Below are 25705 nucleotides of genomic sequence, written 5' to 3' on the forward strand. Positions count from 1 at the left end.
ATATGGCTCAGATTATCAGAGAATTAAATGGCAGAGAGCTGAAAATTTTGAAAGGTGTGGCCACATAAAAAACAATGTGCATGCTGTCTAAAAATAACAACCACTCCCTTTTAAAGAGGAAAGGTAAATTTCAAGCCTCAGATAATTGAAGAAAATTGTCAGAAAAAAAGAAACATTAAGTAAAAAAAAAGAAAGATGATTTGATTTCTGGATTAAGATGTTTTAATTAATATACATAATGTATAGTAGTTCATATAATTTATTAATGGCATTTTCTATAGGACACTGTAATTAATTCAGTGACATCAATATTGACCTCATACAGACAAAAGATGAAAGCTGGGTTTTCTCGTGTACCAAGTACAAAACATGTGCTAAAAAGTTAACATACACAGTTGTAAGAGATCAACGTCGGGATGACTCAAGTTTATAGTAGTTGCTTCACACGGTTTTCCAAGACTTGGATGCCACCCAGTGTTGCCGTGTTTGTGCAAATGCCAGCTCTGGACGGCCTGACTACCTCCTTTTGCCAGCCCCACTTTTGCCTGTTTTACTGCTGCCGCTGCTAGATTTGCCAGATGATTTTGAAGAGAAGAGTCTTGTCATGAACTCAGAAACATCAGGCAACTCATGGTTGGAATTCAGCATATTCATTGACTGCTCCATTTCCTGCAAGAAGACAAGGCACAATGATATGTAGGATCCTTCGAGTCTTTTAACTCCTAACACTTCCTATTAAGGAAAAAGTAAAGGAGTAGAACAAGTGAAAGGTACTGGTTCTGAGCAATGATGCAACATCATACTCAGTAGTACTTCACCTATATATCATTAGTAACTATTTTCCATATCTCCTTTATACCACTAGACATTTTGACTCTTAGTAAATGTCCAATAAATGACTGCCTAGGGTTTGATTCTGCTTGCCTTTTTTTTTTTTTATTATTATACTTTAAGTTTTAGGGTACATGTGCACAACGTGCAGGTTTGTTACATACGTACGCATGTGCCATGTTGGTGTGCTGCACCCATTAACTCATCATTTAACATTAGGTATATCTTCTAATGCTATCCCTCCCACCTCCCCCCACCCCACAACAGGCCCTGTGTGTGATGTTCCCTTTCGTGTGATTCTGCTTGTCTTAATAAAGAACACTTTTTTCTGATACTGAATATATTTGATCATATTCCTCTCTTATTTTATGTTTTCTGATTAAAGTGATTTCTTATTGTTTTAATGAGTACATTTTTAAGTTCATGCTTCCTTTAGATGCATATAACCAGAATATTAATTTTTAACTATATATCAAGGTATCAGTACAGTTTGGAAAATAAGTGCAATATTTCTAAGAATTCATTTATAAGCCTCAGTAGTAAATCTATGAATGCTGTATGGCTTGCATGACTTCAATTAGACTCTAAAGCAAGCAACACACTGTTACAAAGAAGTCATTGGCAAAACAGGATAGGACTTGGCACTTTTGAGTATTTGTCCTCCCCTTTAATTGAGCCAAAAATCTATAAAGTACTGTTTGATAGTTATATAATATTAATGTAACATCTGCTTCATTTAAATTTTAAGTGACATTCTCAAAGTGAACTTAAAATTGACTTTAGTTCATTCATACATGAAAAAGATAGCAAATACTATATTATCTATCATTTCTTTCATTTTTTTCTTTTCTTTTTTTTTTTAGGAGACAGTGCTCAGGTGATCTTCCTGCCTCAGCTTCCTGGGCAGCTGGGACTATAGGCACACAGCACAGCACTAGGCTTCCATTTCAAATTGAACACTGTTGGGATATTAGCTTGAGCTTTTCCCACAAAGGTAGAATTGATTCCTAAATTTTAAAGGAGAAGTTGCTTTTACAAATAAGGCTAGCGAAAGAAATATTGTAAACATAAATCAAGTATGTTAACATGCCCCAATAATTAAGAAATAAATGTATATGGTAACAGCTCTTGAGTCCCTGCAAACATATATCAACTCTATTTTTGAATCTGTTCAATTCTGAAGCTCCCCTTTTTTTTTTTTTTTTTTTTCAGTTTTTGTGGTTTTATTTAAACACAAATAAAACATGCATGAGAGCCGTTGATTCCTTTTCCTCACTGTGGAGCCTGGCATTGGGACTAGTGACTGTGATGGCCAGCTGGGCTGCTCTTTCCAGATGGTTTTGTGGTTCTTGGAGGAAACACTGTGAGTAATCTCAGCACGGTAACATTTGTTGCAGATCAGCAGTACTTCCAGCTCCTTGATGTTGTAGACCAGGAACTTCCAGAAGCCACTGGGTAGTAAGTACTTTGTTTCTTTGCTGCTCCCATAACCAATGTTGGGGATCAAGATCTGGCCCTTGAATCTTCTACGAACACTGTTGTCAACACCTCTAGGTTTCTGCCAGTTAAGCTAAATTTTGACATATTGGTCTGACTGGTGCCAGATAAACCTCTTAGTTGTCTTTTTGATGATCTTGGGCTTCACAAAGGATCTGAGGGCAGCCATGATGCCAAGTAGGAGATGGTGCCACCTCTGCAGGCAGTGCCAAGGAAGAGAGCTTCTGAAGCTCTTGAATCAACTTTTTAAGATGCTTACTATGTGCAAAGCACTTCACAAGGAATGAACTTTTTTTTTTTTTAACGGAGTTTTGCTCTTATTGCCCAGGCTGGAGTGCAATGGCACGATCTCAGCTCACTGCAACCTCTGCCTCCCAGTTTCAAGCGATTCTCCTGTCTCAGCCTCCCAAGTAGCTCAGATTACAGGCATGCGCCACCATGCCCGGCTAATTTTTTTGTATTTAGTAGAGACGGGGTTTCACCATGTTAGTCAGGCTGGTCGTGAACTCCTGACCTCAGGTGATCCACCTGCCTTGGCCTCCCAAAGTGCTGGGATTACAGGCCTGCGCCACCGCGCCCGGCCAGAATGAACTTTTAATCAAATGTGACTTCTGATGTTTCCTTCTACTGATGCCACAGTTAATTGGCTTAACATATACAAGGAATGCACAGGATGTATTACTTTCAGTCTAACACTGAAGCAAAAATGCAAACATTCACCAATAAAACATTTTGAAATATCAAAAACCTTTCTTTTCCTATGAATCTTTTTCTGCCATTCCTGCTTTGAATATACCCCTTATTACCTTCCACAGAACATAATCACCTACTACCTTAGCAAACATTTTTATTTACCTTATTTCTTTAAGAAATAAGACAAATTTCTATTAAGAAAAAAGAAAAGAAAAAGTCACAAAATCCCCTGATAGCAAGAAGAATATTTGATAAATCCATTCTATTTTCTACATTTAACTGGGACTGAGCCTACTGATGACAGGTATGGCCTATAATTCATTTCTGTATCTCCAGTATCTAGACCCTAGAAATTGATAAATGTTTACTCAGGAATGAATAAAATGTCACCACATCTATATACTAAATAAAATGGGGAACCTTGAAACTCAGAAGATACTTGTTGATGGTTGAACGGAAAAATGCATGATGGTTTTTTGAAAAAATGAAGAGTTCAAATAGAAGCCAATATTCAAAGAGAAAATGTGGTGGCACTAAATTGGAAGCATCCTACTTAGCAAATCCTCTCCCTCTGCAGAACCAGTATGGTTTTGTGGAACAGAATTCAAAGGTCACTCTTCTACTTATCCATCCCCCTTGGTCTATCTGTGTGTCTGAACACATAAACTGAGTATGTACTCTGAAGAGAGTTTTGTAAAGTAAAGGCAGATCACAGGAACAATCACTTTGTAAAATATTTAGATTCAGCATACCAGAAGTATTGTACATTTCAGCTATTTAAAAAGTAAGGCACACAAAGAGGCTAGGATGCAGTAAGATGTTTTAGCTACATAAAGAGATCCAGGCCAGGCAGAACTAACAATTTATCTAGTCTAATGGAAGCAACTAATTAAAAGCCATAAACATGATACTATGTTAATACAACCTCTAGATTAATTTGGCTTGGGAACTAGAATAAAATTGAGAAAAACTAAGCTACCCAGCTACGATGGGACAGAGCAAACATCACAATACGGTTCAAAAACCCACAGGTGGGGCCAGGCATGGTGCCTCGGACCTATAATCCCAGTGCTTTGGGAGGCTGAGGCAGGTGGATAGCTTGAGCCCAGGAGTTTGAGGCCACTCAAACTGATTGTGCCACTGCATTCCAGCTTGAGCAACAGAGGCTCTATCTCTTAAAAAAAAAAAAATCCATAGCTGGACCATCATCTTACCCGTCTCATGTCAGGATCACTTGTGTTGACCACTTTAGGCAGAAGCACAAATATCAATAAAGGAAGAACCATCATCATAACCTGCAGAAAAAAAAAATCCAGAAAATGTTTTTCCCCCACTTTACAGTTAATAGAACAAAAACTGCACTTAACAACCAATGGTAAAATTAAAGATTTAAACGTTGTCTATACAATAACACTAGTAGCAACCACCGCAATTCTACTGAGCCAGTTCTGATGATAGCAAGGGGCTGTCTGTCTGACTATGGTGGACTATTATAGAATATTAAAGTTTTCTGTATGTATGTTTGGACTTTATAGACACCTCACTTCATAGTTGTGCCACCCACCTATCTTTTTGCAGAGTTACAGTGTTATTTAACACAAATAGTTTGCAAATGGAACTATCTATTCCCTTTTTTTTTTTTTTTAATCTATAGTCTGGCAATGGGATTGGTGATCTGATGGCAAGCTAACTGCTCTTTTCAGGTGACTGTGGTTCTTGGAAAACTGACCTACTTTAGCAGACCAGTTTTGAAAAATGACCTAGAAGCATCAAGCACTGGAGCACTAGATACACTTCCACGGAATTTCAGAAATGAGAACATGGAAGGTGAATAAGCTCTGGAGTTTCACTGCTGACTTCTTCCATCCAGTCTCCCCCCGCCTCTTTATCTCTGATTACAGATTCTAGGTACTAATTTATTCCTCCCTAGGGGATATACAGCCTCTGAAAACAGATCATGTGTGATCTAAATAGCTATCAGCAAGGATTATGACCAAAACTTAGATAAATTCTTTTATTTTTATTTTTATTTTTTGAGACACGGTCTCGCTCTGTTCCCCGGGCTGAAGTGTGGTGGTGCAATCTTGGCTCACTGCAACCTCCACCCCCTCTGGTTCAAGCAGTTCTCCTGCCTCAGCCTCCCAAGTAGCTGGGATTACAGGTCCCCGCCACCACACCCAGCTAACTTTTTATATTTTTGATAGAGATGAGGTTTCACCATGTTGGCCAGGCTGGTCTCGAACTCCTGACCTTGTGATCCGCCCACCTCAGCCTCCCAAAGTGCTGGGATTACAGGCGTGAGCCACCGCGCCTGGCCTACTTAGACAAATTCTAAGACAGCAATTCAATTTTTAAAAACAGCAAAAGAAAAGGTCGATTTGTTTCTAAAAACTGTTTTCTTGATGATAGTCAACAATAATTTATTGTATATTTTAAAATCACAATCAAAGAGTGGAATTGGTATGTTCCTAACATTTATAAAAACATGATAAATGCTTAAGGTGAGGGATATCCCAATTACCCTGATGTGATTAATACACATCGTATGCCTATATCAAAACATCATATGTACTTCATAAATGTACATCTATTAGGCACCTATAATAATTAAAAATAAAAACAAATTTTTAAAGAATGCATGCTATTAGTGTTTTATTATTAGTGAGTATCATAACATCGGTTCATAATGCCAACTACTTAAATTACCATAGAATAACTTTTCTCTTCACTACACATGTTAAAAAAAGAGGAAGAAATCCTTACTTGTGCTATCAATAGGGGCTGGTTAATAAATGATGGCACATTCATCAATGGACTAATAATATGCAGGCAGTATGGCTGGGTGCGGTGGCTCACGCCTGTAATCCCAGCACTTTAGGAGGCCGAGGCGGGCAGATCACCTGAGGTCAGGAGTTCAAGACCAGCCTGGCCAAGATGGAGAAACTCTGTCACTACTAAAAATACAAAATTAGCCGGGCGTGGTGGCACATGCCTGTAATCCCAGCTACTTGGGAGGCTGAGGCATGAGAATCGCTTGAACCTGGGAGGCAGAGGTTGTGGTGAGCCGAGATCGCACCATTGCACTCCAGCCTGGCCAACAAGAGCGAAACCCCGTCTAAAAAAAGCCAAAACAAACCACAAACAAAAAATACGCAGGTAGTATGAAGAATGAGACAGCTCCAGGTATGACTGACTTACTGAGTATTCTTATTCTATTTGAAATGTAAAACATGCTATAAATATTTATCCAATTTCTATTACACATTTCAATAATCAAATCTACAGTGCAATTCTCATTATATTCTCTTCATTATGTATTCCCAAAGCCACTATTCTTCTGAAATCTGCAAATTATTCACAATTATCCTTTCATCCACCAATCTGACCTCAGCTTTCTATCTCACAGAGGTTTGAAGTTTCCACTGCCTAGAAGCAAATTAGGTATTAGTAAAGTGCTTTATTTTAGCCTGATACATACCATTGGGTTCATTAGAAAGTCTGTCCAGCCCCACGATTCCCTTTTAATAAAGTAAGAAGGTGGACCTGAAGATTTCATTTGGAGAGGATAGGGCAGTCTGACAACCTCTGATGTTTTGATGTAATTCACATATCTTGCTCTGATAAAGCAACATGGGGAAAGCAACAGTAATTCCATTAAAAACATTACTGGTTAAAAGAACTGCTTATATTATATTAGCAATGCCTTATACACACTTTCAGCTTTTTCCAAAATGCTTTAAAACCTAAACTTTTGATCTTGAAAATCTGACCAAAATAGCTTTATCTACATGTCTAAAATATGCAGCAAAACACAGAGAAAAAAACGCTAGACTTGGAATCTTCTAGCTGCAGCTCTGTCATTACCTAGACCTGTGGGATTAAATCAGTTCCCTAACTTCTATTTATGTCAAAAGTTCTTTTAGAATCCTTCTGGTGCTAAAGTTATTTGATTATATTTAGTAATGAATTTACTTCATTATACCATACAAAAATACTGGATTTTATTTTTTTGATGGTCTAAGAAATGCATTATTGGATGTAACCAATTTTTAAGGCTATATTGCCAGAAAATGTTATAATGCAAGAAAGCACTGCAGCAGTGCTATAGGTAACGCTACATTTTTCACCAAAGACGCACTAATTTTAATCAAAATTCTCATCCATGTTTACATAGGATCCATTTTACTTTTTGAAAACTGCCTCTCCTATTTCACTGTCATTGCTGTGTTGGGAAATTTTTTTTCTGATCTGTCTCCCACTTCATCAGACTTCTGCTCAGTTTCTTAATGCATCCATTTAGTTGTACATTTCAATGCCTATATTCATTGTAGAGATTCTATTCTATTCTTTTTTCAAATATCTATAGCCTATTTTGGTATATCATTTCTATGGCAGTCTTTTATTTCCTTAAGTACTTTAAATATACATTAAATTATTTTACAGTCTATATCTAATAATTCTACTATTTAAAGTTCTTAGAGGTCTGATTTATTTGCTGACTCAATGTAGACTGTTTTCTTGGGTTCTTTGTAAGTTTAGTAGACTTTATTTACCTTTATTTAAGTAAAGAGATACAAAGGGTATCTCCTTCCAGAGAGATTATGCATTTGTTACTGCCAGGAATTTGGGAATTATAAACAGAAACTATTTTGTTCATTGCTTAGCTTGGAAGTTCCTGGATTATGCAGAAAGTAATAAATTCATACCCCAACTTGTAATGAGTGTAGGAGCGTAACTATCAGTTTTCAGGGGAGACTTTTTCCCCCAAAGGCCAGCATCAGACTTTTCCCTCCGAAAATCCAGGGCCTTCTGCATTTTAGTACCAAAGGTCAAAGGGAGGACCAAATTTTAGATCTAATTCTGACTCCAAGCAAGCCCATGGCTTGCCTCCTCCCTGCACATTGCTAATTAAATCTAAGCCTTCTGGGTTAGAGAATATCAAAATCTCCAGGTGGGGAAGTGCTTTATAGTTTATCCCCTAGGGATTTCCTTTGTTGTGGGGGGAGCTATGCATTTATTAATAAAAGAAAATGTTCGTCATATTTTTATCCAGCATTTCTCTGCCAAAATGTCAGAACTGAAAATCCCACATATATTCAAAACTAATTTATCATGCATGCTGCATGCTTATAAAATATTGGTCAAGGCTGGGCACAGTGGCTAATGCCTGTAATCTCAGCACTTTGGGAGGCCAAGGTGGGTGGATCATTTGAGGTCAGGAGTTTGAGACCAGCCTGGCCAACATGGTAAAACCTGTCTCCACTAAAAATACAAAAATTAGCCAGGCATGGTGGCACATGCCTGTAATCCCAGCTACTTGGGAGGCTGAGGCAGGAGAATCACTCGAACCCAGGAAGTGGAGATTGTAGTGAGCTGAGGGTGCACCACTGCAATCCAGCCTGGGTGACAGAGTGAGACTCCGTCACACACACACACACACACACACACACACACAAAGAATTAGGATCTTATATGAATCCCACTTTGTTCTCTACTCTGTCACACCCCCAATTATTTTTTATTTTTTTGAGACGAAATATTGCTCTGAAGCCCAGGCTGAAGTGTAGTGGCGCAATCTCGGCTCACTGCAACCTTTGCCTCCCGGGTTCAAGTGATTCTCCTGCCTCAGCCTCCTGAGTAGCTGGAATTACAGGCGCACGCCACCATGTCCAGCTAATTTTTGTATTTTTAGTAGAGATGGGGTTCATCATGTTGGTCAGGCTGGTCTTGAACTCCTGACCTCGTGATTCACCTGCCTCGGCCTCCCAAAGTGCTGGGATTACAGGTGTGAGCCACCGTGCCCAGCCCCATCCCTAATTATTAAAATAATTTTTAAATAATTTTTTCTTTTTTTTAATTTAACCTATGCTTCAGACATCCAATCATCAGGAATGTATCTGAGAACATGAATCCCACTGCTGCAACCAGTTCATAAGTGCTAAAGCAGGAAGTACTCTTTACTCAAGGTAAAAAGGCAATGAAAACTTTATACAGTTGCTCCTCAATTTACATTCCAATAAGCCCATTATAGATTGAAAAATACTGTAAGTCAAAAATGCATTTAATACAGCTAACTCACAGAACAACATAGCCTAGCTTAGCCTACCTTAAAAGTGCTCAGAATACTTACATTAGCCAACAGTGGCAAAATCACCTAATACAAAGCCCACTTTATAATAAGAAACTTATTTAATTCATGTAACTTACTAAATTCTGTACTAAGCATAAAAAAAAGAATGGTTGTTATGGGTACTTAAAGTATGGTTTCTACTGTGTATCGCTTTCGCACCATGGTAAAGTCAAAAAATTCTAAGTTGAGGGCTGGGCACAGTGGCTCACACCTGTAATCCCAGTACTTTGGGAGGCCGAGGCAGGAGGATCATGATGTCAAGAGATCGAAACCATCCTGGCCAACATGGTGAGACCCTGCCTCTATTAAAAATGCAAAATTAGTTGGGAGTGGTGGCGCATGCCTGTAGTCCCAGCTACTCAGGAGGCTGAGGCAGGGGAATCGCTTGAACCCGGGAGGCGGAGGTTGCAGTGAGCCGAGATCACGCCACTGCACTCCAGCCTGGTGACAGAGCGAGACTGTCTCAAATTAAAAAAAAAAAAAAAATTATAAGTTGAACCATTGTAAGCTGGGGACCGTCTATATTTAAAACAATATTCCTATTTGCTAAGACTATTTTATTCAAAATTTAACCAGAGTAAAAAGGATTAAAAAAAAATACAAGTATTCCCTTTTGTGTAGCAGCTCTCATTCCGTCCAATATTGTGTTTTCAATATAAAAAAAATGTTTAAAGCAGTATATATAACATATACTGTGATCCACGTACCCCTCCATTTCCAAGCTTACAATTCTAAAATATACAAAAAGTCATGAATAAGTCCTTTAAGGCACAGATTTAATATAAAAGAACTTTACATATACACATATATGTATACACACACACACACACACACACACATATATATATATATATATTTTTTTTTTTTTTTTTTTTGAGACAGGATCTTGCTTTGTTGCCCAGGCTGGAGTGCAGTGGTACAGTCATGCCTATAATCCCAGCTACTTAGGAGGCTGAGGTGGGAAGATCACTAAAGGTCAATTTGAGGCTGTAGCGGGCTATGATTGCACCTGAGAAAAACCACTACACTCCAGCCTAGGCAACATAGCAAGATTTTGTCTCTCTACAAAGTAGGGGGGAAAAGTAATTTGTTTTTAAGAATATATTAGTGGCATTAGAGTATTACTTTCCTGATAATATCAAGAATATTCTCTTGGACAGGTGCAGTGGCTCACATCTGTAATCCCAGCACTTTGGGAGGCCAAAGTGGGCAGATCACTTGAGGTCAGGAGTTTGAGACCAGCCTGGCCAACATGGCGAAACCCCATCTCTACAAAAAAATAAAAAAATCAAGCCAGGTGCCGTGGCTCACACCTGTAATCCCAGGACTTTGGGAGGCGGGCAGATCACAAGGTCAGGAGTTCGAGACCAGCCTGGCCAATATGGTGAAATCCCGTCTCTACTAAAAATACAAAAATTAGCCGGGCGTTGGTGGTAGGTGCCTGTAGTCCCAGCTACTTAGGAGGCTGAGGCAGAAGAATTGCTTGAACCCAGGAGGCAGAGGTTGCAGTGAGCCGAAATCACACCACTGCATTCTAGCCTGGGTGACAGAGCGAGACTCCATCTCAAACAAACAAACAAAAAATCAGACAGGCATGGTGGCGTGCAGCTGTAATCCCAACTACTTGGGAGGCTGAGGTACGAGAATCCCTTGAACCTGGGAGGCAGAGGATGCAATGAGCCAAGATTGCGCCACTGCACTCTAGCTTGGGCAACAGAGCAAGACTTTGTCTCAAAAAAAAAAAGAATATTCTCTTGATAACTGTCTCTGTTTAGTATACATGCTAAAAGAAGAGAAAGAAATCACTGCTTGTCTATCAATAGGAGCCGGTTATATAAATGATGTCAAATCCACCAATGGACTAACACGCAGCTAAGATAAAGGATGGGACAACTCCATGTGTGACTCATTCTATTTGAATTATGGCATATTTACATATTACATTTTTAAAACTTTCAATGTCAAAGAAAGCAAAGAAAGAAGAAACAAATTACAAATTTTAGGAGTAAACACTAACTCAAATGTAAATAGTATGGTACTAACTGAACATGTGTCAGCTCAATTTTGAGTCTCTACAAGTCAGTCTAAATATGCTGCGCAGACACCAAAAAGATCAGTAGTAAAATTATTTATTAGTCCTCCACCTCCAGAAATTGTTTTTGCCTTTGCATGACCTGTGCTTTATTACTGCAACATAGTCATATTTGATAGCTTAAAGAAGAGACATTACCACTTAGGAGTTGCTTCATATATTTCCTGGTCAGATTTGACCAAAGAGGATGCTATTGCCATGAGACAACAAAATAAATAAATAAATGTGTTCTATTATAATGGGAAGCTGACTCTGAAGACTATAGATACTATACAAATGTTTCAACTTCAAATAGGTTTTGCTATTCCACACTCACAGTCTAAATTAGACTATAGTTCTTTTCACCTCAATTGTTTTCCCTAGAAATACTATATTTCCATTGAACATAAAAGATTCCATAAAGAAAGGACCACAGAAATTTCCAGATCAATGAAGTATCAAATAGGTAATAAGAGGTATTATCAAAATATCCCAGTGAAAAACAGGTGATGAATAGTATTTCTAATTTAGAAAAGTTAAATTATTTCCAACTTAATAATCATATTTCAATTATAACTTTCATAGCACTTTAGCTCCTATAGTAAGTAATCTTACCTTTTCTTTATGTAATCATATTAGGAGCTTTAAAATAAATTTTAAGCCAGAGCAAGAAGCTCAACTTTACAATTTTTTCAATGTTCAGATTAAATAAACGAGGATATTTTAAGTGTTTTAAGGAATAGCTGTAGTTTAAATAAAAAGAATTTTCCATCTAAACTATTAATTCTAAAAGGAATATATACTAAGGTATTCAGTAGCCTAGCTTTTGGCAAAAATTAAATCAGGTGCCCTCACCTCATTTTTCCTTTCGAAGTGATATCCACTCGAACGGGATCAAATCTGTAAGCTGGAGATACAACTTCCACTACATAAGATCCAGAAGGTATATCATGAACCACAAAACTCCCATCTGTCCTGGAAAAATGAAAATCATGTTTAGCTACTACTGATCAACAGCTTAGTCTTTTCTTACTTGCTAATTCCCAAATCAACTCTCCCGAAAAATGACATTAAAAGCAACGGGCAAACAAACAAACAAAACCTTGGCGAAAGTTGTCCTATGCTTCAGTTTCTTTTCTTTTTTCTTTTGAGACGGAGTCTCGCTGCGACGCTCAGGGTGGAGTGCAATGGCACGATCTCAGCTCGCTGCAACTTCCGCCTCCTGGGTTCGAGCGATTCTCCTGCCTCAGCCTCCCGAGTAGCTGGGATTACAGGCGTGCCCCATCATGCCCAGCTAATTTTTGTATTTTTAGTAGAGACGGGGTTTCACCATGTTGGCCAGGCTGGTCTCGAACTCCTGACCTCGGGTAATCCACCCGTCTCAGCCTCCCAAAGTGCTGGGATTACAGGCATGAGCCACTGTGCCGGCCTTCAGTGTCTATAATTACACTGAATAGGTTCTGAAAATACCCAAGACCACTCCAGGGTAGCAGAGAAGCCTGACATAGAAAGTAATTATTTTCCTTCTATGGGTAGAGATGACAGGTGACAGAAACACAATTCCCATTCTAAAGCCATGTCTTCATTGAATATACATTATTATTAAAATATTAGGGTTCCAATTTTGCCAGTCACCCCCAACAACTTCTTACTGTTAAAAATGGCAGGCCAGGCGTGGTGGCTGCCGCCTGTAATCCCAGCACTTTGGGAGGCCGAGGCAGACAGATCACCTGAGGTTGGGAGTTAGAGACCAGCCTGACCAACATGGAGAAACCCCATCTCTACTAAAAATACAAAATTAGCCAGGCGTGGTGGCGCATGCCTGTAATCCCAGCTACTCGGGAGACTGAGATAGGAGAATTGCTTTAACCCGGGAGGCAGAGGTTGCAGTGAGCTGTCCAGCCTGGGCAACCAGAGCAAAAACTCCATCTCCAACAAAAAAAAAAAAAGGCATTTTGTTCTAGTTTTAACTTGCAATTTTTGGTTTTCTGTTCTTCTTCTTTTTTTTTTTTGAGACGGAGTCTCACTCTGTTGCCCAGGCTGGAGTGCAGTGGCCCTATCTCGGCTCACTGCAAGCTCCGCCTCCTGCGTTCACGCCATTCTCCTTCCTCAGTCTCCCGAGTAGCTGGGACTACAGGCGCCCTCCATCACGCCCGGTTAATTTTTTGTATTTTTAGTAGAGACGGGGTTTCACCGTGTTAGCCAGAATGGTCTCAATCTCCTGACCTCGTGATCCGCCCGCCTCGGCCTCCCAAAGTGCTGGGATTACAGGCGTGAGCCACTGCGCCTGGCCGGTTTTCTGTTCTTTTTAACAAATAATAAAAGGTATTTAAGTACCATTTGTTCTATTTGCTATAAATAATTCCCATTTACTTTGGTTACTAGAAGCTTAAAATGTTTATGTAGTTAAAAACATCCATCTTTTCCTTACTGATTTCTTCTAAACTTCCTAGACTTAGAAAACCATCCTATCAAGAGCTGATAATTTCATTTCACAGATCAAAATTAATTTGTTTGAAAAATGAGAAACTACTATTCTGAGGGGGGAAAAAAAGTTTATGTTTCAGGAAAACAAATGGTTCTAAAATGACCAACTGTATCAGAGAATTCCCGATATCATAATAATATATTAAAATAATGCTTCTTAAATCCTCATAGGCTCTTTCATAGTTAAAGGAATAACTGATACTGATGATATCCACAACAGTTACTAAAAAGCAAGATGACGAGACCATCCTGACTAATACGGTGAAACCCTGTCTCTACTAAAAATACAAAAATTAGCTGGGTGTGGTGGCATGCGCGTGTAGTCCCAGCTACTCAGGAGGCTGGGGCAGGAGAATCACTTGAACCTGGGAGGCGGAAGTTGCAATGAGCCGAGATTGTGCCATTGCACTCCAGCCTGGGTGACAGATCGAGACTCCGTCTCAAAAAAAAAAAAAAAAGTAAGATGAAAAAGTGTCACTCCAGAGCACACTAAGCCAGAATTGAAATGTAAAAAAGTTAACTTATGCCTGGCCTGGACATGTTCCATTTGCCCTCTAGATCCACTCTCTACCTTTCTCCTCTTTGCAGACTGGAGGAAGGAAAGAAAATGAGCTTAGTCTATTTTCCCCCCAGACCTCTCACTGACAGGCCACCTCTGACTGGCTGTGTTAAGGGACTGGTTTGTGTCTTTCAATGCAGGCCTTTCTTCCCTTCAAGGTTCCAGTAACCTCTACTCTCCTCTTCCTTCAGGATTAGAGGTGGTGATAATAACCTTGAGGATGTAAGCTCCAGGGTACTGCACAATCTGGCTGTTTCCCAACACCATGACTACACTGTTTGATGCCTTCATTAAATTATCCTTGAATTACTCTAATTTGAGTGCATCTTCTACTTCTTAATGGGACCCTGACTGAACCAATTTCTTTCTTTCTTTTTTTTTTTTTTTTGAGACAGAGTCTCACTCTGTCACCCAGGATGGAGTGCAGTGAGGTGATCTCTGCTCACTGCAACCTCCGCCTCCTGGGTTTAAGTGATTCTCCCGCCTCAGCCTCCCTAGTAGCTGGGATTACAGACTACCGCCAGTATGCCTGGCTGATTTTTTTTTTTTTTTTTTGTATTTTTAGTAGAGATGGGGTTTTTCCATGTTGGCCAGGCTGGTCTCGAACTCCTGACCTCTGGTGATCCGCCTGCCTCGGCCTCCCAAAGTGCTAGGATTACAGGTATGAGCCACCGTACCCAGCCCTGACTCAACCAATTTCAAAACATTTTTTCAGATCCAGAAAAAAACAAACTGATGACAGTGGAACACAAATAATATCAGAAATAATTAAAGAAAAAGCAAATATATTTATCATCCTAAGGTAAATATTTTACTTGAGAAAAATAACATAAAGTTTGCAATACAAAATTTAAAATTCATCCTTAAAAATGTACTCTACAAAATGTAGGCCTTATTGGATCCTGATTTGAAAGAACAATTATATAAAAAATATTTTTGAGAAAACTGAGGAAACATAAAAATGGGACTGTTAGATGATATTAAGGCATGATTATTTTGTTGAATCAATAATGGTAATGTGGTTTTTGTTTAAGTCCTTATTTTTTGGAGATACATAATAATGCTTTTACAAGTAAAATCCTATTATGCTTAGAACCATTTAAAAATATTTCAGAAAAAAATTAATGAGGTACACAAAAGACATGAAACAAAACAGTAGAATGCCATTCTATAAATGTTTGAAAATTTCTATAATAAAAAGTGCAAAAAAGTATAGAATATAATATTACTATGTAAACAAACAAACAAACAAAAACACATGAAAACCACCTGTCCAAAAACAGAGGACTGGTTAAATAAATTATGGCTTATATACATTGTGATGATAGCAAGAAATGGCATGAGGAGTCTTCAGGCCCAATTCCCTTTATCTCCATTAACTAAGTCCTAAGCCACCTCCAATAAGCACAAATGTAAGTCAAAACTGTGTGCTAGTTATGCAAAACAGCTACAATACAAATTACCTACCCCTTTTCCAATAAGATTATCACCATAAACTCCTCATATTAATTCTCCATCAATGTTTCTTTTTTTCCTGAGAGACGGGGTTTTGCTCTGTAGCCCAGGCTGGAACGCAATGGCATGATCACAGCTCACTACAGCCTCAACCGCCTCGGCTCAAGTGATCCTCCCACCTCAGCCTCCTGAGTAGCTTGGACTACAGGTGCACACCACCACTCCTGGCTAATTATTTATTTTTTGTAGAAATGGGGTCCCACTATGTTGCCCCAGCTGGTCTGAAACTCCTGGGCTCAAGCGATCCTTCCACCTCAGCCTCCCAAAGTAAGATTACAGGTATGAGCCACCGCGCCTGGAAATTCTCCATCAACCTTTCTACATACAAATAAAGAACATGAAATGGTATCAAAAGCTGTTCAAAAATATTAAGTGAAAAAGGCAGGATACAAACTACTACATGTTGTATTTTACTAGTAAAAACCTAAGTCATATGATTCCAAAAGAAGCTGGAAAAATGGTAGGCACCGTGGCTCACGCCTATAATCCCAAAAATGTGACAGGCTGAGGCAGAAATATCACTTGAGGCCAGGAGTTTGAGACCACACTGGGCAACATAGCAAGACCCTGTCTCTACAAAAAATTAAAAAATTAGCTGGACATGATGGTGTCCGCCTGTAGTCCTATCTACTGAGGAGGCTGAGACAGGAGGATCACTTGAGTACAGAAGTTCGAAGCTGCCATGAACTATGATCTCGCCACTGCACTCCAGGCTGAGTAACAGAAAAAGACCTTGTCTCAAAAAAATAAAAAGAAAGATACAATGAAACATTAAGGGTTGTTTTCCTACTTTGTTTCTAATATACTATTTTTAAACAGAAATTAAATGCTTTTTAAAAGAACTGTATACAGAAGAGTGGCCAAATGGTCAATTAAGGCTTATTCCTAAAGCTTAATGAGAACTTTATCATTAAAACATCATTAATTAGGGTAAACTCTAACGAATGCCCTAATGCCAGATTCTTAATGACAGACAGCAGTAAAATACTGGTTGTAAATTTGTCACTATTTATTAATCTGAGGTTGAATAACCACTCAAGGGCACTTAGATGATCTGAACAAATATGTAAATCAGATTTGGATTTAAATGTCTACATTTAAGTTGTCTGATTTTCAGATACCATTTGCTGGTGTACGAACCCACCAAAGGAAATACTTCCTAATTATTTGCTTTCAGTTTACAGTTTCACCTCCAAGTAAGGGTGGAAAGATTTAAAACAACATACGCGTGCCTAGACATTTCAAAAGCAGGCTGCTGCAAAACTAGTGCTAACAAATTCATCCTGTCTTTTAATATAGACAGAAAACCCACTTCCACTAATAGCATGAAAGGACAGAAGCAAGAAAGCAATGTAGAGGAACCCTAGTCTCACATAAATGACAAGTGTGATATAGCAAATCTCTCGATGAATTCAACTGTAAAAAAGAACAACGATCCCACCCCCAAGCAAAAAAAAAAAGAAAAAAAAAGTGCTTTGATTAGGGATTTCAGAGCCTATTAATTTTAGAAGCAGTAACATTAGCCTCCCAGTCTATGTCGTCACTAGAAGCCCTTTGGGTTTTGAGAATTCCCACTTGTGTCGCATCTTTCTACATAATAACAAGCTACCAAAAGACTGAAGTGAATGCAAAAAACGACTAGGTTCTAGGGAAACCAGATGAGATATAAAAGAATCCAACAAGAGACTAATAAGGGTCCACCTGTCCCCAGGGCCCAGGAATGATCGTCCCCACATGGGGCCAAAATAAGGTTGGAAATAACTGACTCCATGCTCTGACCATGGCAGGGGGTGAGCGCCTGCCATGCTCATTCCAGAGGTACAGGACCAGGAAAGGGAAAGCATCCGACTGCCTCCCAAGGTCTCCCGGCATAGACCGTTAGCGGCACCCTCCCCTTCAGTCTGAGACAGCGACGTTGTCCCGTCCTGACACTTAACTCTCCTGGTGGGGTCCCTGTCCGGCCTCCATCCCAGCCTTTTTCCCGCTGCCCTCAGGATGCTCACTTAAGGAAACCGACGTGCTCTTCTCCGTCTACCAGCACTCGGGCCGCCGAGATCCAGTCCTGAGGCTTCACCCCTGGAACAACTGCACGCCCCTCAATCTTGAAGCGATCTCCTATGCCGACCCCACTCCCTCCCGATCCCTCAGCAGCAGCCCCGGGCACCTCCGAGCTCTGGACATCCCCCGATAGCAGCAGCAGCAGCAGGACGGGAAAGAAGCCCCACAGAGCGGCCGCCATGACAGCAGCTCTGCACTCAGACCGGCAGCCCCGGAAGCCCTCCCAGTCTCCCGGCCGCCACCGCCGCCGCTGGCGGCTTGATGTTGTCATCACTGCGCGCCCGTTTCTGTCATAAGCTGTGGGATCCAACCAGAGGGAAGAGATCATGGCCGATCGACTAGCGAGGCGGAAGTAAGGCGGAAGTACTGCCCTTAACTCCCGGCACTCTGGATTGGAAGACGGCGCACAGAGCCTGTGTCAAGTGCCTATGAAGGGGACTGCCCATGAAGTGAAAGTCAAGTGTGTGTTGCTGCGGCAGCCACGGAGGCCAAGGACCTCACGGGAGTAAAAGATGACGAGACTGGCTTCGGGAGAAACACCATCCAGAAGAGACCTTTCAAAAAACTTCTAGAGACTCCCCAAGACGTATGAGATGAAAGGCTTCTTCTGTCTGTGTGCGTTTAACTCATTTCTCCTTAGCCCCGAGATTACGCGCTGCTGTGCCTGCGACTGCAGCGTTTACGCCGAGATAACTCGTGGATTACAGTGCCAACCTTACTCCCAAAGTTTGCCACGAAATATCTCGCTTCTGTTATTTTCGCATGGTTCTGGTATATTGACTTTTGAAACAAAAGACATCATTCTGTTTATAGCATTCTGTTTTTAGTAGTGGGATTTCCATCTACAAAATATAGTAATTCTCGATCGCTGAAATGTCAAATCCTAGAAAACGTAGCATTCCTATGCGTGATAGTAATACCGGTCTCGAACAGTTGTTGGCTGAAGATTCATTTGATGAATCTGATTTTTCGGAAATAGATGATTCTGATAATTTTTCGGATAGTGCTTTAGAAGCCGATAAGATCAGGCCTCTGTCCCATTTAGAATCTGATGGAAAGAGCTCTACATCAAGTGACTCAGGGCGCTCCATGAAATGGTCAGCTCGTGCTATGATTCCACGTCAAAGGTATGACTTTACCGGCACACCTGGCAGAAAAGTCGATGTCAGTGATATCACTGACCCATTGCAGTATTTTGAACTGTTCTTTACTGAGGAATTAGTTTCAAAAATTACTAGAGAAACAAATGCCCAAGCTGCCTTGTTGGCTTCAAAGCCACCGGGTCCGAAAGGATTTTCGCGAATGGATAAATGGAAAGACACTGACAATGACGAGCTCAAAGTCTTTTTTGCAGTAATGTTACTGCAAGGTATTGTGCAGAAACCTGAGCTGGAGATGTTTTGGTCAACAAGGCCTCTTTTGGATACACCTTATCTCAGGCAAATTATGACTGGTGAAAGATTTTTACTTTTGTTTCGGTGCCTGCATTTTGTCAACAATTCTTCTATATCTGCTGGTCAATCAAAGGCCCAGATTTCATTGCAGAAGATCAAACCTGTGTTCGACTTTCTTGTAAATAAATTTTCCACTGTATATACTCCAAACAGAAACATTGCAGTTGATGAATCACTGATGCTGTTCAAGGGGCCATTAGCTATGAAGCAGTACCTCCCGACAAAACGAGTACGATTTGGTCTGAAGCTATATGTACTTTGTGAAAGTCAGTCTGGTTATGTGTGGAATGCGCTTGTTCACACAGGGCCTGGCATGAATTTGAAAGATTCAGCGGATGGCCTGAAATCATCACGCATTGTTCTTACCTTGGTCAATGACCTTCTTGGCCAAGGGTATTGTGTCTTCCTCGATAACTTTAATATATCTCCCATGCTTTTCAGAGAATTACATCAAAATAGGACTGATGCAGTTGGGACAGCTCGTTTGAACAGAAAACAGATTCCAAATGATCTGAAAAAAAGGATTGCAAAGGGGACGACTGTAGCCAGATTCTGTGGTGAACTTATGGCACTGAAATGGTGTGACGGCAAGGAGGTGACAATGTTGTCAACATTCCACAATGATACTGTGATTGAAGTAAACAATAGAAATGGAAAGAAAACTAAAAGGCCACGTGTCATTGTGGATTATAACGAGAATATGGGAGCAGTGGACTCGGCTGATCAAATGCTTACTTCTTATCCATCTGAGCGCAAAAGACACAAGGTTTGGTATAAGAAATTCTTTCACCATCTTCTACACATTACAGTGCTGAACTCCTACATCCTGTTCAAGAAGGATAATCCTGAGCACACGATGAGCCATATAAACTTCAGACTGGCATTGATTGAAAGAATGCTGGAAAAGCATCACAAGCCAGGGCAGCAACATCTTCGAGGTCGTCCTTGCTCCGATGATGTCACACCTCTTCGTCTGTCTGGAAGACATTTCCCCAAGAGCATACCAGCAACGTCCGGGAAACAGAATCCAACTGGTCGCTGCAAAATTTGCTGCTCCCAATACGACAAGGATGGCAAGAAGATCCGGAAAGAAACGCGCTATTTTTGTGCCGAATGTGATGTTCCGCTTTGTGTTGTTCCGTGCTTTGAAATTTACCACACGAAAAAAAATTATTAAATACCGATCATCATACACATCTGTTCCATTAGGATTAGAGACAAGTTCTGTTTAGAAATAACTCCAAGATTGGGAGGCCGACCTGGGTGGATCACCTGAGATCAGGAATTCAAGACCAGCCTGGCCAACATGGTGAAACCCTGTCTCTACTAAAAATACAACAATTAGCTGGATGTGGTGGCACATGCCTGTAATCCAAGCTACTTGGGAGGCTGAGGCAGGAGAATTGCTTGAACCCATGAGGCGGAGGTTGCAGTGAGCTGAGATCACACCACTGCACTCCAGCCTGGGTGACATAGCGAGACTCCATCTCAAAAAAAAGAAATAACTCCAAGAACAGTTTTGTTGTTTTTGTTTTGTTTTGTTTTGTTTTGAGACGGAGTTTCACTCTTGTTGCCCAGGCTGGAGTGCAATGGCATGATATTGGCTCACTGTAACCTCCACCTCCCAGGTTCAAGCGATTCTCGTGCCTCAGCCTCCCTAGTAGCTGGGATTACAGGCATGTGCCACCACACCCACCTAATTTTGCATTTTTAGTAGAGACTGGGTTTATCCATGTTGGTCAGGCTAGTCTTGACCTCCCGACCTCAGGTGATCCGCCTATCTGGGCCTCACAAAGTCCTGGGATTATAGGCATGAGCCACTGCGCCTAGCACCAAGAACAGTTTTTATATTTTATTTTCACATTGAAAATCAGTCAGATTTGCTTCAGCCTCAAAGAGGGTGTTTATGTAAAACTAAATGAGTGCAGGCAGCGAGCTACACTTTTTTTTTTCCTAAATGGAAAATGGGAAGGAGATACTGTCTCTGAACAAAAATAGCTGGAAAAACACATAACTGTTAACTAAGGGTTGCCTCTAGTGAAAAGGATTGGAAGACAATTTATCTGATGCTACACTATTCTTCCTGTTGTGATTGTTTTACTGTGAACATAACAAGGTTGTATTGGGGAGGAGGGCAGGGGTTGATTGCTGCCAATGTTGATTGCTGAGGCCTTAGCCAAGATTTCAGGCATCATTTGCTCCAGTCCTTTCATTTTCTTTATGGTGGAAAGTGAAGTGACTTGCCCAAGATCTTTGTTGGCCCTAAACATCGCTGTCTCTGCTACAGATTCCTATTGAGAGCAATGCATGTTTTAGCCTTGTGCACTCTTAGAGTCAGCATCATGGGAAAGAGTAACAGCAATTGAAAAAAGAGATTCAAGAGCCAAGTACTCAGCCCTGGCAGGGGATGGGGACATGATGCCCAGAGCCACCCCTATACTCCAGTCTCCCTGGCATCAGCTACTGCAGTACTGGGGTACTTGCCTTCATCTTTTTTCTGAAGATAGTTACTTCTTCATATTTGATCATCGGAAGGAGCAGCATTGCTCAGAAACACACACACACACACACACACTTGACTTTCTTGTCTGCCAAATAAATTTCTTATTTGCTAGGGAACTGGTAATCTAGGCTCAAGAAGTGTGTGGAGAAGGTTTATTTTCATTCTTTTTACTTTAAAATATGCCTTAGTTTTTGAATAGATAAGACATTCAAGTGTCAGAAAGTAAAAGTCAGTTCAGGACTGAGAAAGGAAAGATCAGTGCTGATTTTAATCAGACTGTAATGTACCAACTAGATACAGACAGGGCCAGTGGCAAGGCCATCAGAAAACTTCTTCCCAAGGCCACACCACACCTGCAAAATGCCTAACAACCTTCTTCTTTTCAGTGATTACCACTTTCTTACCAATGACTTCGCTTTGTTCCTCGTGCCTCTGAACAGACTGCTGAGATACCCAATCAAGAGCCAATCCTTGCTTCCCTAGACTCTCCTCAATCATTCAACAGAAGCCCAAATCTTGTAAAAGTTCCTTTCTGGGCCGGGCACAGTGGCTCACGCCTGTAATCCCAGCACTTTGGAAGGCCGAGATGGGCGAATCACAAGGTCAGGAGTTTGAGACTAGCCTGGCCAACATGGTGAAACCCTGTCTCTACTAAAAATACAAAAAAAAATTAGCTGGGCATAGTGGTGGGTGCCTGTAATCCCAGCTACTTGGGAGGCTGAGACAGGAGAATCACTTGAACCCGGGAGGCAGAGGTTGCAGTGAGCCAAGATCGCACCACTGCACTCCAGCCCTGGCGACAGAGTGAGACTCCATCTCAAAAAATAAAAAAGTTTCCTTCTGTTCCCTCTTACTGTTATATCCTTGGTTTCTCTGGTGTGGGGTCTTCCTTACAGCAGCAAGCTCATAAACTTAACTTGACCGCAGGTGTGTTCCTTGGTGGTCTTTATCTGATAGACTTTGTCACATGGTACAATATTCAAAAGGCACATGGTACAATATTCAAAAGGCACATGGTACAATATTCAAAAGGTATGAGTATACAAAAAAAATCTCCCACCTACTTCTCTCCCTAGTCACCCAATTCTCAAGAGGCAATCACTGTTGCCATTTTCCTGAGTATTCTTCCACAGATAGTCAACTATCTACAGAAAAATATATACATTAAAAATAAGGCCAGGCACAGTGGCATGCCTGTAGTCCCAGCTACTCAGAAGGTTGAAGCAGGAGGATCACTTGAGGCCAGGAGGGCCAGGAATTTGAAGCTGTAGTGTGCTATGATAGCAGGCCTGTGAATAGCCATTGCACTCCATCCTGGGCAACATAGCCAGACCCTGTCTCTAAAAAAAAAAAAAAAAAAAAAAAAGACAAAAAAACAAATCCATATATACATATATATGTATATATATAGTATGCTACCAGTTGTGTGAAAAAAGGGGCAAAATATATATTTATTTAACTTATATACAAATAACATTCTAGAAATAAATTGTTTAATATAAAATACACTAATATATAATAATGTATTACCTAACATATGATTATATATAACTATAATGTGTACTGTTTTACATACATATTTCCAAAGTATACTATAAATGCACTTCCGCACTTTGCTCTTTTTACTAAATATATCTTGGAAATCATCCTTTATTCGTACATAAAAAGCTTCATAGTTCCTTTTTATGGCTGCAAAATGTTCCAGCTTATGGATGGACTGATTCTCTATCGAGCAACATTAAGATTGTGTCCTATTTTACTATTCCTAATTTTGCTGAAGTGAATTTCTTTTGCCATGTGATTTCCACAGGTGTATATATGTAGCGTAATTAGTACTAGTAGAAAGTAGAATTGCTAGATCAAAGAGTATGTGCCTTTGTAATTTTGATGATATTGTGAAATCTTCTTCCACAGAAGTTGTTGCAACTTTCACTCTCACCAGCAATGTGTAAGATAACTTGCTTCTTCATACCCTCACCAACAATGAGCTATCAAATGTTATTTTTGCCAAGCAAATAAATTAAAAGTGATATCTCAGTTTTTGTTTGTTTGTTTGTTTTTTGAGACAGAGTTTCACTCTTTGTTGCCCAGGCTGGAGTGCAGTGGCGTGATCTCGGCTCACTGTAACCTCCGCCTCCCAGGTTCAAACGATTCTCCTGTCTCACCCTCCCGAGTAGCTGGGATTACAGGCACCTGCCACCACACCCAGTTAATTTTTGTATTTTTAGTAGAGACAGGGTTTCACCATGTTGGCTAGGCTGACCTCGAACTCCTAACCTCAGGTGATCCACCTGCCTCGGCCTCCCAAAGTGCTGGAATTACAGGCGTGAGCCACCATGCCTGGCTCTTCTTGCTTGTTTGTTTTGAGACAGAGTCTTGCTCTGTCAGCCAGGCTGGAGTGCAGTGGCACGATATTGGCTCACTGCAACCTCTGTCTCCCAGGCTCAAGCAATTCTCCTGCCTCAGCCTCCTGAGTAGCTAGGATTACAGATGTGTGCCACCACGCCTGGCTAATTTTTGTACTTTTAGTAGAGACGGAGTTTCACCATGTTGGCCAGGCTGGTCTCAAACTCCTGACCTCAGGTAATCCGCCTGCCTTGGCCTCCCAAAGTGCTGGGATGACAGGCGTGAGCCACCACGCTGGGCCTCTTCTTGGTTTTTTAATCCATCTTCTGCCATATGGTGAATTAAATCTAAGTTGTATTGTAGGATTAATGGAGAGCAGCTAAAGAGGAATAAAGCCATGTGTTCAGCCAAGGATAGTTATCATGAAGGATAAAAGCCTCAAAATCCTGATTTTGAAATACAAAGTGCTGATTTTAAAATCAGTACATGTTGAGCTGAGCCCTGAGGCCTTTGTTTCAGTCCCAACCAGAGCAGAAGTAAGCATTGTTGAAACCGTAGTAAAAAGATTATTTGAGAAATAATGGAATGGGACAAAGGATTATAATGTGCTACAGCCCTCTGACCATTACACTTTCTAAACTATTAATAAAATTTTACTTTTCAAAAATGATTTCAAAAATTGCAAAATTTAGAAATATGCTGAAATAAAAACAGCTTCATCCCAAGTTTCCTGATTTTTTTTTTCTGTATATGTTTGGTGACCCTTCTTTGCTGGTGGTATCTTAGACACTTGTTCAGTTTTTTTTTTTTTTTTTTTTTTGAGGCAGAGTCTCACTCTGTCACCCAGGCGGGAGTGCAATGGCGTGATCTTAGCTCACTGCAACGGCGTGATCTCAGGTCACTGCAACCTCCACCTCCCGGTTCAAGCAATTCTCTTGCCTCAGCCTCCCGAGTAGCTGGGACTACAGACGCGCACCACCATGCCTGGCTTCTTTTTGTGTTTTTAGTAGAGACAGGGTTTTGCCACGTTGGCCAGGCTAATCTCGAACTCCTGACCTCTGGTGATTCGCCCGCCTTGGACTTCCAAAGTGCTGGGATTACAGGCATGAGCCACCATGCCCGGCCTTGACACTTGTTCAGTTTGACTAACAAGTAATCAGTGCTCGTCATATTTCCCCAGGTAGGAGCTGGGAAGTTTACTTTGCAGTGGGACAAAAGGTGGATGAGGACCAGCAGTGAACAGTAACTGAAGTCTCTGTATCCCCATTTCTGCCTTCCTTTCTTCCCTTCCCTTATTGTCACTCATACTAAACTATCCAATGCTTCAAACCCCTCACATGCCAGGCTTATACCTCTATAGGCACTACATGGAGAAGAAAAGCCTGAGTAACGTTTTCAGGTAGTGCAAAATTCTGTTATCTCTACTATTTTCCAGGTAGGCCAGAGGAATTGTATAGAGATTCAACTCCAAATTATGTGTTTTCCCATAATGTAGCCCTTGGACTCATGCTTTATAAAAGAAACTATAATTATAATAAAATATTTTAGAAAGATTTTGTGC

General features: G+C 40.5%; 2 protein-coding genes and 1 pseudogene across 2 annotated transcripts, besides 4 other annotated features; 1 reads left to right on the forward strand and 2 right to left on the reverse strand.

Moving 5' to 3' along the window:
• Nucleotides 1-199: 199 nt before the first annotated feature.
• Nucleotides 200-18045, reverse strand: EMC7 (ER membrane protein complex subunit 7). The gene is made up of 5 exons (NM_020154.3): nt 17787-18045; nt 12078-12197; nt 6500-6638; nt 4236-4316; nt 200-669 (listed from the first exon to the last, which is right to left on the reverse strand). The coding sequence occupies exons 1-5, from the start codon at nt 18020-18022 to the stop codon at nt 517-519; spliced, it is 729 nt and encodes a 242-aa protein (NP_064539.1). The 5' UTR covers nt 18023-18045; the 3' UTR covers nt 200-516.
• On the reverse strand, nt 2041-2549 carry RPL32P2 (ribosomal protein L32 pseudogene 2; annotated as a pseudogene).
• Nucleotides 17189-18046: an enhancer, noted in NCBI's record as "H3K27ac hESC enhancer chr15:34393207-34394064 (GRCh37/hg19 assembly coordinates)". NCBI's record gives its function as "activates a minimal SCP1, AML or CMV promoter by ChIP-STARR-seq in naive H9 embryonic stem cells {active_cell/tissue: H9 hESC(naive)}" and the evidence as "EXISTENCE:reporter gene assay evidence [ECO:0000049][PMID:30033119]".
• Nucleotides 17189-18355: a biological region, named in NCBI's record as "H3K27ac hESC enhancer GRCh37_chr15:34393207-34394064".
• Nucleotides 17656-18355: an enhancer, noted in NCBI's record as "active region_9173". NCBI's record gives its function as "activates an Ori minimal core promoter by ATAC-STARR-seq in GM12878 lymphoblastoid cells {active_cell/tissue: GM12878}" and the evidence as "EXISTENCE:reporter gene assay evidence [ECO:0000049][PMID:35858748]".
• PGBD4 (piggyBac transposable element derived 4) lies at nt 18266-24869 on the forward strand. The gene has a single exon (NM_152595.5). The coding sequence runs from the start codon at nt 18715-18717 to the stop codon at nt 20470-20472; it is 1758 nt and encodes a 585-aa protein (NP_689808.2). The 5' UTR covers nt 18266-18714; the 3' UTR covers nt 20473-24869.
• Nucleotides 18386-18475: an enhancer, noted in NCBI's record as "active region_9174". NCBI's record gives its function as "activates an Ori minimal core promoter by ATAC-STARR-seq in GM12878 lymphoblastoid cells {active_cell/tissue: GM12878}" and the evidence as "EXISTENCE:reporter gene assay evidence [ECO:0000049][PMID:35858748]".
• Nucleotides 24870-25705: the final 836 nt, after the last annotated feature.

This window comes from Homo sapiens, chromosome 15, assembly GCF_000001405.40.
Source record: "Homo sapiens chromosome 15, GRCh38.p14 Primary Assembly".
Taxonomy (NCBI): Eukaryota; Metazoa; Chordata; class Mammalia; order Primates; family Hominidae; genus Homo; species Homo sapiens.

What these genes read in the sequence shown, in the direction of transcription:
- PGBD4 (NM_152595.5), top strand. Translation starts at nt 18,715, where the DNA reads ATGTCAAATCCTAGAAAACGTAGCATTCCTATGCGTGATAGTAATACC.
- EMC7 (NM_020154.3), bottom strand. Translation starts at nt 18,022, where the DNA reads ATGGCGGCCGCTCTGTGGGGCTTCTTTCCCGTCCTGCTGCTGCTGCTG. An exon ending in ACTTTCTAATGAACCCAATG is followed by an intron (nt 4,317 to 6,499) that starts GTATGTATCAGG and finishes TTTTTTCTGCAG; the next exon opens with GTTATGATGATGGTTCTTCC. An exon ending in GTGATCCTGACATGAGACGG is followed by an intron (nt 670 to 4,235) that starts GTAAGATGATGG and finishes GTCTTCTTGCAG; the next exon opens with GAAATGGAGCAGTCAATGAA.